At 40.8% G+C, this 15,245-nt stretch overlaps 1 protein-coding gene and 1 long non-coding RNA gene across 6 annotated transcripts in view, besides 1 other annotated feature; one reads left to right on the plus strand and one right to left on the minus strand.

Annotated features, from left to right (window-relative positions):
- The window catches only part of FRMD6 (FERM domain containing 6), a 334,297-nt gene that overhangs the window by 69,413 nt on the left and 249,639 nt on the right, over window positions 1-15,245 (plus strand). The window lies entirely within an intron of this gene.
- Window positions 1-15,245, minus strand: part of FRMD6-AS2 (FRMD6 antisense RNA 2) — a 145,441-nt gene that overhangs the window by 11,332 nt on the left and 118,864 nt on the right. The gene's annotated exons all lie outside the window — the stretch shown is intronic.
- Window positions 1,786-2,500: an enhancer, noted in NCBI's record as "H3K27ac hESC enhancer chr14:51934347-51935061 (GRCh37/hg19 assembly coordinates)". NCBI's record gives its function as "activates a minimal SCP1, AML or CMV promoter by ChIP-STARR-seq in naive H9 embryonic stem cells {active_cell/tissue: H9 hESC(naive)}" and the evidence as "EXISTENCE:reporter gene assay evidence [ECO:0000049][PMID:30033119]".

Below are 15,245 nucleotides of genomic sequence, written 5' to 3' on the forward strand. Positions count from 1 at the left end.
CAGTAGGTGTATATTTAGCTTTTCAAGAAATAATCAAACTGCTCTCCAAAGTGGTTGTACCATTTAATCTTCTACCAGCAGTACATGAGAGTTCCAATTGCTCCATATCCTCACCAGAATTAATATAATCAGTCTTTTAAATTTTAGTTATTCTAATGGCTGTATAAAATTTCACTGTCGTTTTAATATTCATTATCCTGATGAATAACAATCTTGAACATCTTTCTACATGTTTATCAGGCACTTGTACATTTCATGAAGTGTTCGAATACTTTACCCATTAAAAATGGGTCACTTTATTGCTCTATAGGAATGATTTATATATTCTGGATACAAGTCTTTTATATAGATTGCAAATATTTTCTTGCATTTACATTTATTAATTGTGTCTTTTAAAGAGCAAAAACTTAATTTTGGAAAAGTTGAGTTCATCCATTTGTTTCTTTTGTAATTCATGCTTTTTGAGTCCTGAGAATCCTTTGCATCCTCCAAGATCACAAAAGTTTTCTCCTATATATTCTTTGAAAGTTTAATAGTTGAGGTTTACCTTTAGCTTTATGATCCAGTATTTTAAGTTAGCATTTGTGTATTATGTGAGATGAAAATTGATATTCATTTTTTCTATATGAATACGTAGTTGATCCAGTACCATTTGTTGAAAAGCCATTTCTTTCCCCATTGAATCATTTTGGCACTTTGTCATAAATTAATTGGTTATATATGTATAGGTGTATTTCTGAATTCTCTATTCTATTTATTGATGTATGTATCTTTTTACCAGTACAAAATTGTTGTTAATATTACTGTAGCTTTATAAATTTTAAAAGAAAGCTAAGTACTCCAACTTTGTCCTCTTCTAAAACTGCCTTATTCTAGATTCTTTGCAATTTCATGTAAGTTCTATATGAAGCTTATCAATTTCTATAAAACAACTTGCTGGGATTTTGATAAGGATTACATAGACTCTAAAAATCAATTTGGGGATAATTGCTATCATAACCATGTTGAGTCTTCCAATTCATTAATGTGGGATATCTTTCTATTTTAGCCTCCTTTAATTTTTGTCAGCCATGATTTGCAGCTTTTAGTGTAAAAGTCTCAAAAATATTCTGGTAGATTTATTCCTTTTTTTTTTTAATACTTATTGATCATTCTTGGGTGTTTCTCGTAGAGGGGGATTTGGCAGGGTCATAGGACAATAGTGGAGGGAAGGTCAGCAGATAAACATGTGAACAAAGGTCTCTGGTTTTCCTAGGCAGAGGGCCCTGCCGCCTTCCGCAGTGTTTGTGTCCCTGGGTACTTGAGATTAGGGAGTGGCGATGACTCTTAAGGAGCATGCTGCCTTCAAGCATCTGTTTAACAAAGCACATCTTGCACCGCCCTTAATCCATTTAACCCTTAGTGGACACAGCACATGTTTCAGAGAGCACGGGGTTGGGGGCAAGGCCATAGATTAACAGCATCCCAAGGCAGAAGAATTTTTCTTATTACGGAACAAAATGGAGTCTCCTATGTCTACTTCTTTCCACACAGACATAGCAACAATCCGATCTCTCTTTCTTTTCCCCACACTTCCTCCCTTTCTGTTTGACAAAACTGCCATCGTCATCATGGCCTGTTCTCAATGAGCTGTTGGGTACACCTCCCAGACGGGGTAGCGGCCAGGCAGAGGGGCTCCTCACTTCCCAGAAGGGGCGGCCGGGCAGAGGCGCCCCCAACCTCCCGGACGGGGCGGCTGCCGGGCGGAGGGGCTCCTCACTTCCCAGACTGGGCGGCCGGTCAGAGACGCTCCTCACCTCCCAGATGGGGTGGTGGCGGGGCAGAGACACTCCTCAGTTCCCAGATGGGGTCGCGGCCTGGCAGAGGTGCTCCCCACATCCCAGACGATGGGTGGCCGGGCAGAGACGCTCCTCACTTCCTAGACGGGATGACGGCCAGGAAGAGGCGCTCCTCACTTCCCAGACTGGGCGGCCGGGCAGAGGGGCTCCTCACATCCCAGACGATGGGCGGCTGGGCAGAGACGCTCCTCACTTCTTAGACGGGATGGCGGCCGGGTAGAGGCTGCAATCTCGGTACTCTGGGAGGCCAAGGCAGGCGGCTGGGAGGTGGAGGTTGTAGCGAGCCGAGATCACGCCACTGCACTCCAGCCTGGGCAACATTGAGCACTGAGTGAGCGAGACTCAGTCTGCAATCCCGGCACCTCGGGAGGCCTAGGCTGGCAGATCACTCGCGGTCAGGAGCTGGAGACCAGCCCGGCCAATACGGCGAAACCCCGTCTCCACCAAAAAAATACAAAAACCAGTCAGGCATGGCGGCGCGCGCCTGCAATCCCAGGCACTCGGCAGGCTGAGGCAGGAGAATCAGGCAGGGAGGTTGCAGTGAGCGGAGATGGTGGCAGTACAGTCCAGCCTCGGCTCGGCATCAGAGGGAGACGGTGCAAAGGGGAGACAGAGATGGGAGAGGGGGAGGGGGAGGGAGAGGGGGAGGGGGAGGGAGCAGATTTATTCCTATTTTATATTTTTATTTGGTGCTACTAAAACTTTTTCTAAATTTATTTTAAAATTTTTGCTACTTGTGTATAAAAATGTAAGTGTTGTATTTGCATACTGTATCCTGTGACTTTGCTAAATTCACTTATTTTTTCTAATAAGCATTTTCTAGATTCTTGGGAATTTTCTATGAAAATTGAAAATAAGAACAGTTTTACTTCTTTCATAATTTTCCTTTTTCTTAAAAAATTTGACATTGTTTTTAGAACCTCCAATACAATGTTGAATAGAAGAGAAGGGAAGTATTCTTGCTTTGTTCCCAAACCCGGGGGTGGGCAGGGGGACAATTCAGTCTTTTGTCATTAAGCATGATGTTAGCTGTAGATGTTTTTGTCAATGATCTTTATCAGTTTGAGGAAATTCTCTGCTACTCTCAATTTACTCGAGTTTCTTTTTGCTTGCTTTCATTTCCTTCCTTCCTTTCTTTATTATGAATAGGTGATAAATTTTGCGAATGCTTTTTCTACATCTATTGAAACAGTCATATGGGTTTTCTTCTTTATTGTGTTAATATGGTGAATTACATTTGGTTTTTTTGTTTGTTTGTTTTGTTTGTTTGTTTGTTTGAGATGGTGTTTTGCTCTGTTGCCCAGGCTGGAGTGCAGTGGCACGATCTCGGCTCACTGCAAGCTTTGCCTCCCAGGTTCACACCATTCTCCTGCCTCAGCCTCCCGAGTAGCTGGGACTACAGGCCCCTGCCACCACGCCCGGCTAATTTTTTGTATTTTTAGTAGAGACGGGGTTTCACCGTGTTAGCCAGGATAGTCTCGATTTCCTGACTTTGTGATCCGCCGCCTAGGCCTCCCAAAGTGCTGGGATTACAGGCGTGAGCCACTGCGCCCAGCCTACATTTGTTTTTTGTTTTTTATTTTTATTTATTTATTTATTTTTTATTGTTAAATCAATCTTGCATTTCTGGAATAAAATGTGCTTTGTCATGGCTGGGCCCTATGGCTCACGCCTGTAATCCCAGCACTTTGGGAGGCCGAGGCGGGCGGATCACGAGGTCAGCAGATCGAGACAATCCTGGCTAACACGGTGAAACCCCATCTCTACTAAAAATACAAAAACTTAGCCGAGCGTGGTGGCAGGCCCCTGTAGTCCCAGCTACTCGGGAGGCTGAGGCAGGAGAATGGCGTGAACCCGGGAGGCGGAGCTTGCAGTGAGCCAAGATAGCGCCACTGCACTCCAGCCTGGGCGACAGAGCGAGACTCCATTTCAAAAAGAAAAAAAAAAAAAAAAAAAAAGCTACTTTGCCATGATATGTTATTTTAATATTTCTGGATTTAATTTGCCAACATTTTATTAAGAATTTTTGTCTATCATGAGAAATACTTTATTTTTTTTTCCGTGATGTCTTTGTCAGATTTTGGTATTAGGGTTGTAAAATTGGTTGCAGCATGTCCTGTATTCTTTTTATATTCTGAAAATGTTTGTGTAAGATTGCTGTTATTTCTTTTATGAATGTTTGATTCACCTTTCTATGGAAATCATTTGCACCTAGAGTTTTATTTGGGGGAAGGTTTTGGATAACAAATTGACAGAGACAGACTCCGTCTCAAAAAAAAGAAGTTAATACTTACATAGACACAGGGCTATTCAGATGTTCTGTTTCTTCTGGGATCAATTAAGTTGTATTTTCCAAGATTTTTTATTTAATCTAAAAACTTTGTTTATAACATAAAGTTTTTCATTTTTTTAAAATTTAAAATGCTCATAGAATCTATAATGATAACCCCCTTTTCATTCCTTAGTGATTTGTGTTTCTCTTTCTCTCTGTGTTTCAATTAATCTAGCTAGGGGTTTGTCAATTTTTTAAATCTTTTTTAAAAAATCAGCTTTTGGGCGGGGCATGGTGGCTCACGCCTCTAATCCCAGCACTTCGGGAGGCCAAGGTGGGCAGATCACAAGGTCGAGAGTTCCAAACAAGGCTGGCCGATATGGTGAAACCCTGTCTCTACTAAAAATACAAAAATTAGCTGGCGCAGTGGCAGCTACTTGGGAGGCTGAGGGAGGAGAATTGCTTGAACCCGGGAGGCGGAGGTTGCAGTGAGCCGAGATTGCGCCACTGCAGTGCAATCTGGGCAACAGAGCGAGACTCCGTCTCAAAAAAAACCAAAAAAAAACCAGCTTTTGGTTTTGGTAATTTTCTCTTTTATCTATCTATTGTCTGTCTATTTTGGTTATTTCTGCTCTTATCTTTATCTTTTTTGCTCTTATTTTTATCATTCTCTGATTTTTAATTTTTCTATTTTTACTTATATGCATTTTAAAGCTGTTTTAGCTGAATTCCACAAATTTTGGTACATTGTATCTTCATTCAGTTCAAAACATTTCTTAGTTTCCCTTGTGATTTTTGTCTTTGACTTATGAATTAAGATGGTGTTGTTTAATTTCTAGATATTTATGGGTTTTCTAGATGCCATATTGTTATTGATTTCTCATTTAATTCCACTGTGGCCAGAAAATACACTCTGTATATTTCATTCATTAAAATTTATTGATTTATTGTCCAGCATATGGCCTATTTTTAAAAATGTATTATGTGAACTTGAATAGAATACATATTCTGCAGTTGCTGGATGTTTGTTCCATAAATGCCAGTTAGATAGTGATCAATAGTATTGTGCATACCTTCAGTATTTATGTAGATGTTTTTTCTGGTTTTTCTATGAATTGCTTACTAATGGGGTTCTAAAATCACCTGATATAATTGTGGAATCTATCTGTCCCCTTAATTCTGTGAATTTTTGCTTCATGTATTTTTGGGAACTGTTATTAGATGCATATGCATTTATAATATTTATGTCTTCCTGGCCAGGTGCGGTGGCTCACGCTTATAATCCTAGCACTTTGGGAGGTGGAGGCGGGTGGATCATGAGGTCAGGAGATCAAGACCATTCTGGCTAACACAGTGAAACCCTGTCTCTACTAAAAATACAACAACAACAACAAAAAATTAGCCGGGCGTGGTGGCAGGCGCCTGTAGTCCCAGCTACTTGGGAGGCTGAGGCAGGAGAATGGCGTGAACCCAGGAGGCGGAGCTTGCAGTTAGCCGAGATAGCGCCACTGCACTCCAGCCTGGGTGACAGAGCCAGACTCCGTCTCGAAAAAAAAAAAAAAAAATTGATGTCTTCCTGATGAATTATTCTTTTTATCATTATAAAATTCCCAGTGCTGTTTTTAAAGAAACATTCGGCATTCTTGGAAAATGAAGACATGGTAACTAAAATTTAAAAATATGTACATTTAGATAAGGTTCAGTTAATACAGTTGAAGAAATCTCACAGCAAATGGAACAATAACAACAAAGTAAACAATAGTGATAGAAAGTGGTAGATAAATGACAAGAGTCCAAGAGGATTTCTCTAGGAAGCCCAGCATTCAAATAATAACAGAGTTTAAAAAAAGAAGAAAGAAAGAAAATGAAAAATAGGAAAAAGGAAAACAAGAGGAGAAAATTACCCAAGAAATGATATAAGAATATTTTCCCATTTTATGCCCTTATAAAGGGCTGGAGGAGGGAATTTGTTCCTTTTGCCCTTCTGCCTCTGCCATGTGAGGACACACTGTCCATCTCTCCAGAAGACGCAGCATTCAAGGTGCCATCTTAGGGGCAGACACCAGACCCTATGAGGCAACTGGACCTGGTAATGCCTGATCTTGAACTTTCCAGCCTCTAGAACGGTTAGAAATAAATTTCTTTTCTTTATAAATTAAGAATATGCATATATTTCCCCTAAGTGAAGGACACAGTTTACCAGCTTCAAAAGACCTACATAGGACCCAGCACAATGAAGGTTAAAGAGCTACACCAAGACTCAAAGACTCATCACTGTGAAATTTCAGAATGCTGGGTGTTCTAGGGACTTCTTTCTCTGGCTCAATTGCTGAAGGAATTATTATTATTATAATAATAATTATTTTTTGAGACGGAGTCTCTCTCTGTCGCCCAGGCTGGAGTGCAGTGGTGCGATCTCAGCTCACTGCAAGCTCCACCTCCCAGGTTCACGCCATTCTCCTGCTTCAGCCTCCCGAGTGGCTGGGACTACAGGCACCTGCCACCACGCCTGGCTAATTTTTTGTATTTTTAGTAGAGACAGAGTTTCACCGTGCTAGCCAGGATGGCCTCGATCTCCTGACCTCGTGATCTGCCCACCTCAGCCTCCCAAAGTGCTGGGATTACAGGTGTGAGCCTCCGCACCCAGCCTGCTGAAGGAATGATTTTAACTGTGAGAGAAAGACTTATTCAAGGAGAACCAACAGGGACCCTCCTTTTCAGTTCCTGAATCTTAGCCTCAGCTCACCTGAACTTAGCCTCACAGCTGAAGCACCCTGTCAAAAATTCTGAGCAGCCCTGTTCCCCTCACCCAGATTTCTGGTTCATGTAAATCTTTGAAATGCTCCTAGTACTCAAGCACTGAGGCGCCAGGAATCTTTGTTTAGCCACCTTACCAAGTTAATCCCCAAGGCTGTGCTTTAAGTCTGTTACCAGATTTAATTGAGGATAATGTAGTGTATCCTTCCTTAGGAGAATATTTGTCCCTACATGTGATAAGACCTAATGGTTACCCCTTGAACACTTATTAGTTGATACCCTTGAGCAGTTTGGGAAATAATTTTCAAATGAGGTATAATGAGCTCAAGTCTTTTGGAAGTCATCCAAATGAGGGTGCCCAGGCCAACAGGAAAAGCACTGGGAATAAAGTGAGAGCTGAGCTTCTGCCCCTGCCGGTCCTGCTGCTTGTGCTTCCCACGTCAGGATAATGATTTACAGCTGGAGTTTTCTAGGGCTGTACTAGCCTTGGAGACAATCAGGATTTGGCTTTAAATTATATGTGTATGTGGTCTCAGCTACCTCCCAGTTTTGTGTTGGTTCTAATTCATGGCCTATCTTATTTTAAAAGGCCAGTAAAGGCTGATCTTGACCCAGCCACTTGTTGGTCTGTTGCAGTTTCTAAGTAACCGCGCATGGCCACCATCACTACTGCTCCTCTGCTGCCTCAGCTGACTCTGACCCTGGCAGACAGTGTTTCTCCAGAGGTCACAGCTTCTGACCAACCTAAAATGACCTGGCCAGTAAGTGAGCACGACTCTTTATGCTTCCAGAAGTAGGCCTGTTCTTCCTGTTCTACACACCCTCCATTGAGGAAATTTGAACAGATTGAAACTAGTACACCTTTCATATGAAGGTATTACCTGGATTCTCACCAAAAACCTCTCTTGCTGATTCTGGACCTGTGCCCCAGGTTAGGGCATAGGCTTCTGGCTCTATCTCAGGGAGTTTTCTGCCTTTTGAGAGCAGTACTTTCTCCGCCTACCCCTTTCTCTTATTCCCAGCCACACCCTTGAGGCAGGAGCATCTTTATCTCCCACTTATTACTAAGGACTTGTAGTCCTGGTCTTGGAGCTAATTTCTATGCTTTCTTTACTTTTTTTTTTTTTTTAAATCCCAAGATGTATTAAAATCCTATGCAATTTCCCCTGACCTAGAGCTATCCCAGCATTCTCAAAGCTGCATGACTCAAAGGAAGACATCCCCTGGAGCTCTTCTTACTAATCATAGTTAACATTTATTGAGCACGTATCACATTATCTCATTTATCATCACAAAAACCCTACGAAATCTATTTGTTACAGATGAGAACACTTGGCTTAGAGAATCTATGTCACTTGCCCTAAGTTTATAGATAAAAATAGATAAGCAGGGGTTTGAATCCAGATCTCTCTCTATCCAGAGCCCATGCTTTTAATCACAGCATCACTTCTAGGTCTGGATTTTAACCGTGTGTACAGATTTCAATTTCATTTCAAGTTAGGAAAACGCTGGGGTGCTTATTTGTCATCATTGCTGTGATTAGCAAAGTGAGAATAGAGACAGGAGTTGGAAATTTCCCTGCCCTTAGAACTCTGAAAGACAAAGCAGTTAAACACTACATCACAAAAGTTCATTATGCTTAGATAACAGAGAAGAGGGTGGAGTGGTAGCAAAGTCAACAGGAATTTACAATGGCAGTTTGGGACTGGCGGGAAAGATTTAGGCCTCAGAATCCTAGGCAGTGCATCTGAAATGCAGAAATCAGTGGGGCTGGTGGGGCCGGAGGAGTTTTCAGAGGGCACAGTGGTCTTGAATTTGCCTTTGAACTAGTGAGATTTTGGTTTGTAGAAAGGAAGAGGGAGAATTCTCCCAGGTAGAAGACAGCTGGAGCCAAGGGAGAGAGGAGAGAATGAGTGTGGGTATTTGGGATGGCATTGGAGTGGGCCAGCCCACACTGGGGAGTGATGCAGGATAAGTTTGAGAAGGATCTTGAGAGACAGATTCAAAAGCTTGGAATTGAATGTGAAGGCAATGGGGAACCACAGAAGGCCTTTGAACATGGGAGAGGTGGGCGAACAAAAATGATACAGAATGTTTTGTTCACAGCGTGACTCATTTTGCCCTATCAAACAGCTGTAACTGGAGTCAAGCTATTAACACTGCACTAAAGATTTAGGTTCTATTATCTGTTCAGCCATAGAGCCATGTTCTTTCTGCAGAGATATTTTTCTAAACTGAGGGAAAGCCTTATGTGAAAAATGAGAGGTTGCTCACTGGCTCAGGGAAAAGTGAGCTAGACAGTCTGAATGACAGAGTCATCAGTTATGATAATCCCCACTTCCAATGCATAGATGTACCTGCCAAGAGAGTGACAATGCTTGTTTAAGCTAGCCAAGACATGCTCTCTCTCTTAGATGGTGTCAGAATACACAAATTTGTATTCTCTGGTCCCCCTTTTCCTAGATTCCAAGCCAATTATATTTTTCATTATTTCCTCATCCAGGAGACTATGCCATTTATTTGGGTACAAATTGATTTACATTAACAGCATTGGAACCTGAGGATATATGTGGGTCACCTAGCTCCTGATTAGATTTAAGAAATGCCTTATTTTTCATGGTTCAATGAAGTAAACAAACTGTCCTCTTTGCCATAGAGTTAGGAAGCACTATGATGTCAGGAGTAACTTTTGCTACGAGCTGATTTCACCCATTCCAAATTGATAATATGTTCAACTTCAGAGAGTGTTCTTAGCCCCAGGTTCTAGGAGGGCTGTGGCCACCTAAGATCTTACAGCTTTCTTTTCCTCTCTACATACAGCATGAGCCATTGTGATGCTATTAGCATATTTCGTGGTTTCTCTATTTGTTGAATCTATGAGCGCCATGAGGAAACCTCTATTTTCCCCCTTGGGTTGGATTCAAAACCTAACATAGATATGCTATTATGGTTTACCTGTATATTCTAGCTAGCAACATTTAAAATTCTCATTTATAAACTTTCTAGATCATCAAAGGATGAAACAGGTAATAACTGAGATGCCTTTTCCCAAACTTTTTGCCAAAGTGCTCATGAAATTACATGAAAAGCGTGAAAAAGGGAGGACAATAAGCTGTAAATTTAAGATGGAGAAAAGCCATATGCTGAGGTCCACAGAGAATGTCTACTAACGTAATTGTCGATGGAATGGATTGAGAAGCATGTAAGCACGTGCTTACATGCTGAACCAGAGAAGCCCAGCTGGTACTGAAACATAATAGAGAACAAATGTACCTTGCCCTCATCATTTGCCCCCGGCTATTTTAGGACCCTGGGGCTGCCCTGGCCAGAAAAGTAAATGGTTCAACTAGGAACCGTTCAACTATCTTCTGCACCAACAGAAGTCAAATCCAGAGTCATGCCTTCCACTCAAACTATCAATTTCTCTCTTTCCACATCCATTCGGAGACTCTGGCTCCCAGACCACAGCTGGGCATAGAGACAAGCAGAGGTGTGTTGCATCTTAGAATGGATGCTATGTAATAAAAAGGACCGTAACAGGGAGAGAGATAAGAAGGCAGGGGCCAACGCATGCTGGGAGGGAATGTGGTCTTTTATGTGCTGCTGTCTAAAACAGGACCGTAGATTGCCTCCCAGTCTTTCTTTTACCAGTCAGAAATTGCAGCAGTTGGAGCAGGAGAGACCCCAACCTAATGCTGAGACACCTGAACAAGCTAAATCTCTGTGGACTTTGAAAACAGGTAGAAACTATCTTCACCAGTTTACTCTTTATACCTGCTTTACTTGCACTCAAGAGGAGAGTGAGGGAGTATGAAGACCCTTCACCAATACTCTGCTGGCAAGTGCCAGGAGTGAACATAGTGTTCTCTTTTCCAGTATGAATAGGTGGAGAGATGCCCAAAGGGGACCTATAAAAAGAATACTGCAAGATAAGGGAAAAGAAGCTTTTCCATTAAAACTTGAAGCAAGACTACATATCCAAAAATAAATTTTTCCAGGAAAGAGACTTTTTCAGTAGACATATTTTTGGTATCCCTTAAGAAAACTGAGAAGGCATAGCCTCTATGAGATGGGAGTCAGGGGCCATCAGGAGAAAATAGATTGGGATGCAGGCAGATTGGCAAAGGTTGAAATAAGAAATAAGGGCAAATATACCAAAACTATAATAGCAGAATTAAAACTTCTACTGAAGAGAGTAACTATAGGGAAGACTGCAGAAATCAAACCAGTAAAGTAGAACACAAATTAAGGAGTGAAAGGATTAAGATGAAAGCGTTCAGCGAGAAGACAGAAAACACAGATCTAATCTAGGAGTTACATTTGTTCCCAATGAAGAAATTGAACAAAATACTAGAAACAATGTTCAAACATATGGCAGAAGAAAACTTTCCTGCCTGCAGAAGAGATCTGAGATGAATTAAAATTACCAGACTCACATAGAGACATAGCTTGTAAAATGTTTTGATTTTCCAGGTTAAAGAAAGAATCAGAGATTTATAGAGAAATAAACAGGTTACTAACAAGGAAATGAACATTAGGATGGGATCAGACTTCTCAACCCTGAAGGCTAAAACACCATTTTAGGAGACAAGGTGGTATCTCAAGAATTCCATGTTCACCCAACGTGATGTTTACGTGCAAAGGCTGTAGGAATTCATTTTCATATTTACAAGAAGACAGAAAATACACACCACACAGTCCCTTCTTGAAAAAAGAATTTTAATTTGCAGCCCCATTGATTAATAGGTGAATTGGCATGAGGATACAAGGGGGGAAACAAGTAGAAGATGACTTGCAGTGAGTGTTGGAGACTATTCAAAATATAAAATAAATAATTGCCTTGAATATGATTATAAAACTGTATGCAAAAGCTGACAGATGCTGTTGAAAAAAAATTTAAGTATTATAAACTTTAAATTGGGTAAGCAAAAATTGATAAATGGGAAAAGAGCAGTATATTTCATGTTCTCCATAATGAGCTAGTGTTCTTTTCTTTTTCTTTTCTTTCTTTCTTTCTTTTCTTTTTCTTTTTTTTTTTTTTTTTTTGGAGACAGAATCTCACTCTGTCACCCAGACTGGAGTGCAGTGGCACGACCTCAGCTCACAGCAACCTCTGTCCCTGGGGTTCAAGTGATTCTTGTGCCTGAGCCTCCCAAGTAGCTGGGATTACAGGCACGTGCCACCATGCTGGCTAATTTTGTATTTTCAATAGAGACAGGGTTTTGCCATGTTGGCCAGGCTGGTCTCCAACTCCTGCCCTCAGGTGATCCACCTGCCTCAGCCTCCCAAAGTGCTAGGATTGCAGGTGTGAGCCACTGCACCCAGACTGTTTTTTTCTATAGCATGTTATATGACATGTTATATCTTTCCCCCAACTAAAAAAAATGAGATAATGTTTTCTGTAACTGAGTGATTTTAGTTTGAAAATGACTTCTTCAACAGCATGCTTTTCAAGCCAGCATGTCTGTAAAACTGAAATTATTATAGGATCACATGGCTTCAATTGTGTATCTGGCTTCAACTGGCAATGAGGAAATCCTAATAAGCTGAGGCTTTAAGAAACTGCGGAAAGATACAAGATATATTATATGCATTTTTTTTCCTTCTCATTGGATTTTTTTTCCAAGTGAAGAAAAGCGCTGGCATCAGTGAGAATGAATAGTAGTCAGTGGAAACGTAAAGTAGAATGACTTTGGTAAGATAAGTTTTCTAATTTGATGTTTTGGTTAAAAAGTATCTATTTTAGTGCTTATGAGAATTCACTCAGGAATTCATGAATTCCAATTGAGCCAATGTAAAAATTTTGAAATAAAATGTTTCTCTATGGTGTTGGCTTTTGTTAAGCATTGATCTGAAGTGGGAGGGAGGAGGAATCTCGTGAGTTCTTCCATATGGTGTTCCTCAAAGAATGGGTGTGGGAAAGAGAAACTGGAAAGTATGCCTATGAAGAATGGAATAAATAATTATACCTTTAAAAAATACTATTGCAGGAAAGAGAATATTTTAGCAGACATATTTTGGTATCCTTAAGAAAACTAAAAAGGCATAGTCCCTATGAGATGGAAGTCGGGGACCACGAGGAGAAAACAGATCGGGATGCTATCTTTAGCCTAAATCATAGTCTTTGCCTCCTTTGCATTGACAGTTATACTGTAATATTTATCTTTGATGAATTTAGGTCTGTACACACCATAGTTGTCAAAAGAAAAAAAATGTGCCAGAAGAAATTCGGAGAAAACCTATAATATTGTGGTACAAATATTTGGTTCCTTGGGAAAATTTTGCTGCCACCTGATTTTTAATAAAATCAGAAGACCCAGGTGTTGGCCAGGGCAGAATTAACAACCTCCCCTACCTTGTAGCCCTCCAAAAATGCTAGTTAATTATGTCATTAATTACTGACAGCCCATCTGTGATTTCCAATCTTTAACGTTTCAAGTGAGTGAGAAGATGGAAGTAGTGAGAGTAACTTAGAAAAAAAATCACATAGGGCCACTTTTAGACCATAAACTCCCCCAAACCATTCATCATTGTGCGCTAAAGGGTTGGTTTAACATTTATGCGCACATTGTACAAACATGTTCACTCTTATAGGGTAGAAATTTTACCCTCCATGGTCACTCTTGTAGGGTAGAGATGCATAACATCGACATGTATAAATGACCACCCAACTATACTAACTAATCACTTATACTGCACCCAGCACTCTGCTAGCTGTGTAGGAGGCACAGGATAAATATGAGCTTAGTCTCTGCTCTCAAGGAAGTGGAAAGCTAGTTAGAGAGGTCACACAAAATGATTAGCAAACAATCAGGTGTTAACCAGAATTGTCTTCTTTTCTGTGCCTGTGTTTCTTCATCTGCAAAACAGGAATAATAAAACTATTTATCCCAACAGGATATGGTATATAGGAAGTGCTCAGTAGAAGTTAGCTCTTCATTACTGTCATGTAAATAATTATTAACTTTTAATAGGAGGTAAGAGAAAGAAGTGAAAGCTGGCTGCTGCAACAGTAGGGAAAGTTTAATAATAGAACTGAGACTTGAGCTAGGCTTTTGAGCAATGGGTAAAATTTAGAGAGCTGGATACCTGAGTGATTGGGAGGTCATCCAAGGTGAGAAAAATAGCAGTTGCAGAGGCATGTGGGTTGCTGCCTCTTCAGTTAAGCTCACAGTGACTCAGTGACTGTGTATTGACTTCGTGGGAAAGAAAATTGAATAGAGAGGGTGGGGTGTGATCATGAAGGCTTCACAAGTCAGGCAAAGGAGTTTGGATTTTGATACTATAAGCAATTAATTGTCTATACTTCAGTGAAAAGTCTGGTAGCAGGATGCAGGATGTTTGGAAGGGGTGGATCACTGAAGTCAGGGAGGCCCCAAGAGAAGGCAGTTGCAACATCCCAGTTGAGCTATAATCAGGGCTTGGCTTGCAGAGTGAAGAGTAAGAGATGGAGCCAAGGTGCTAAGAAGGAAGAAGCAGCAGGCCCTGGGAAAAACAGCAGAGCAATGAAAAACAGCACAGTTGCATTTTGGGATCTGGTGCCACATTTTCTGAGCCTAACACAGGGTATACGTACATGTGTATTTACTGAACAATTGAGGCTGAATAATTGATGAAGTCACTGCAAATCTGAGATTTACGGGGATCACAGTTTATAGCCAGGCAGAGAACAAACGAATTGGGAAAGAATATGAAGAGAGGAGTGTCCTCTCCAATCTTCTTTTAGCTTATTTCTTTAATGAATCTGTATGCCCAGTGTGTAGAAAATTAAGACCTAAAACATTGTTTTAAAACATTGGTTTTAAAATTCCAGGACTGGAATCATCTATTTGCCTAAATGTATCCTCTATGCATCTCTGTGGTTCTTGAGGGTAAGAAGGCATCATGTTTATATACAATGACTACATTGATTAGGGGAGTCTTATGTCCTATCTACGTTCATATCCTGACACCGTACATCTAGCTGATGTCTCTGAGTGAGTTCCTGAGCCTGTCTATACTTTAGTTTCCTCCTGGGTAAAATGAAATAATAATAGCATCTACCTCACAATGATATTGTGAGGCTTAAGTGAGCTACTACATGCTAGGTGCTTAGAGCAGTGCCTGGCAAATATTAGATATTACCTGGGAGAAACCATAATAGTAGCTGTAGCAGTGGTGGCATGTCACGGTGTGATGGTGAGGGTGATAGCTCACTTTACCTCAGTGAATGTAAACATTGTAACCCATTGTTCAATAAATGCTCCTCTAAAAGATATGCTGAAAGCATAATTGTCAAAGGGAATTCCTGTGAAACCACATGTAAAATACTAAGAGTAAAGAGCAAATATTTGGGGGATATCTATTAAGACCAAAATTCTAGGTTTCAGGGAGTATCA

The sequence above is a fragment of the Homo sapiens genome, chromosome 14, assembly GCF_000001405.40.
Source record: "Homo sapiens chromosome 14, GRCh38.p14 Primary Assembly".
NCBI lineage: Eukaryota > Metazoa > Chordata > Mammalia > Primates > Hominidae > Homo > Homo sapiens.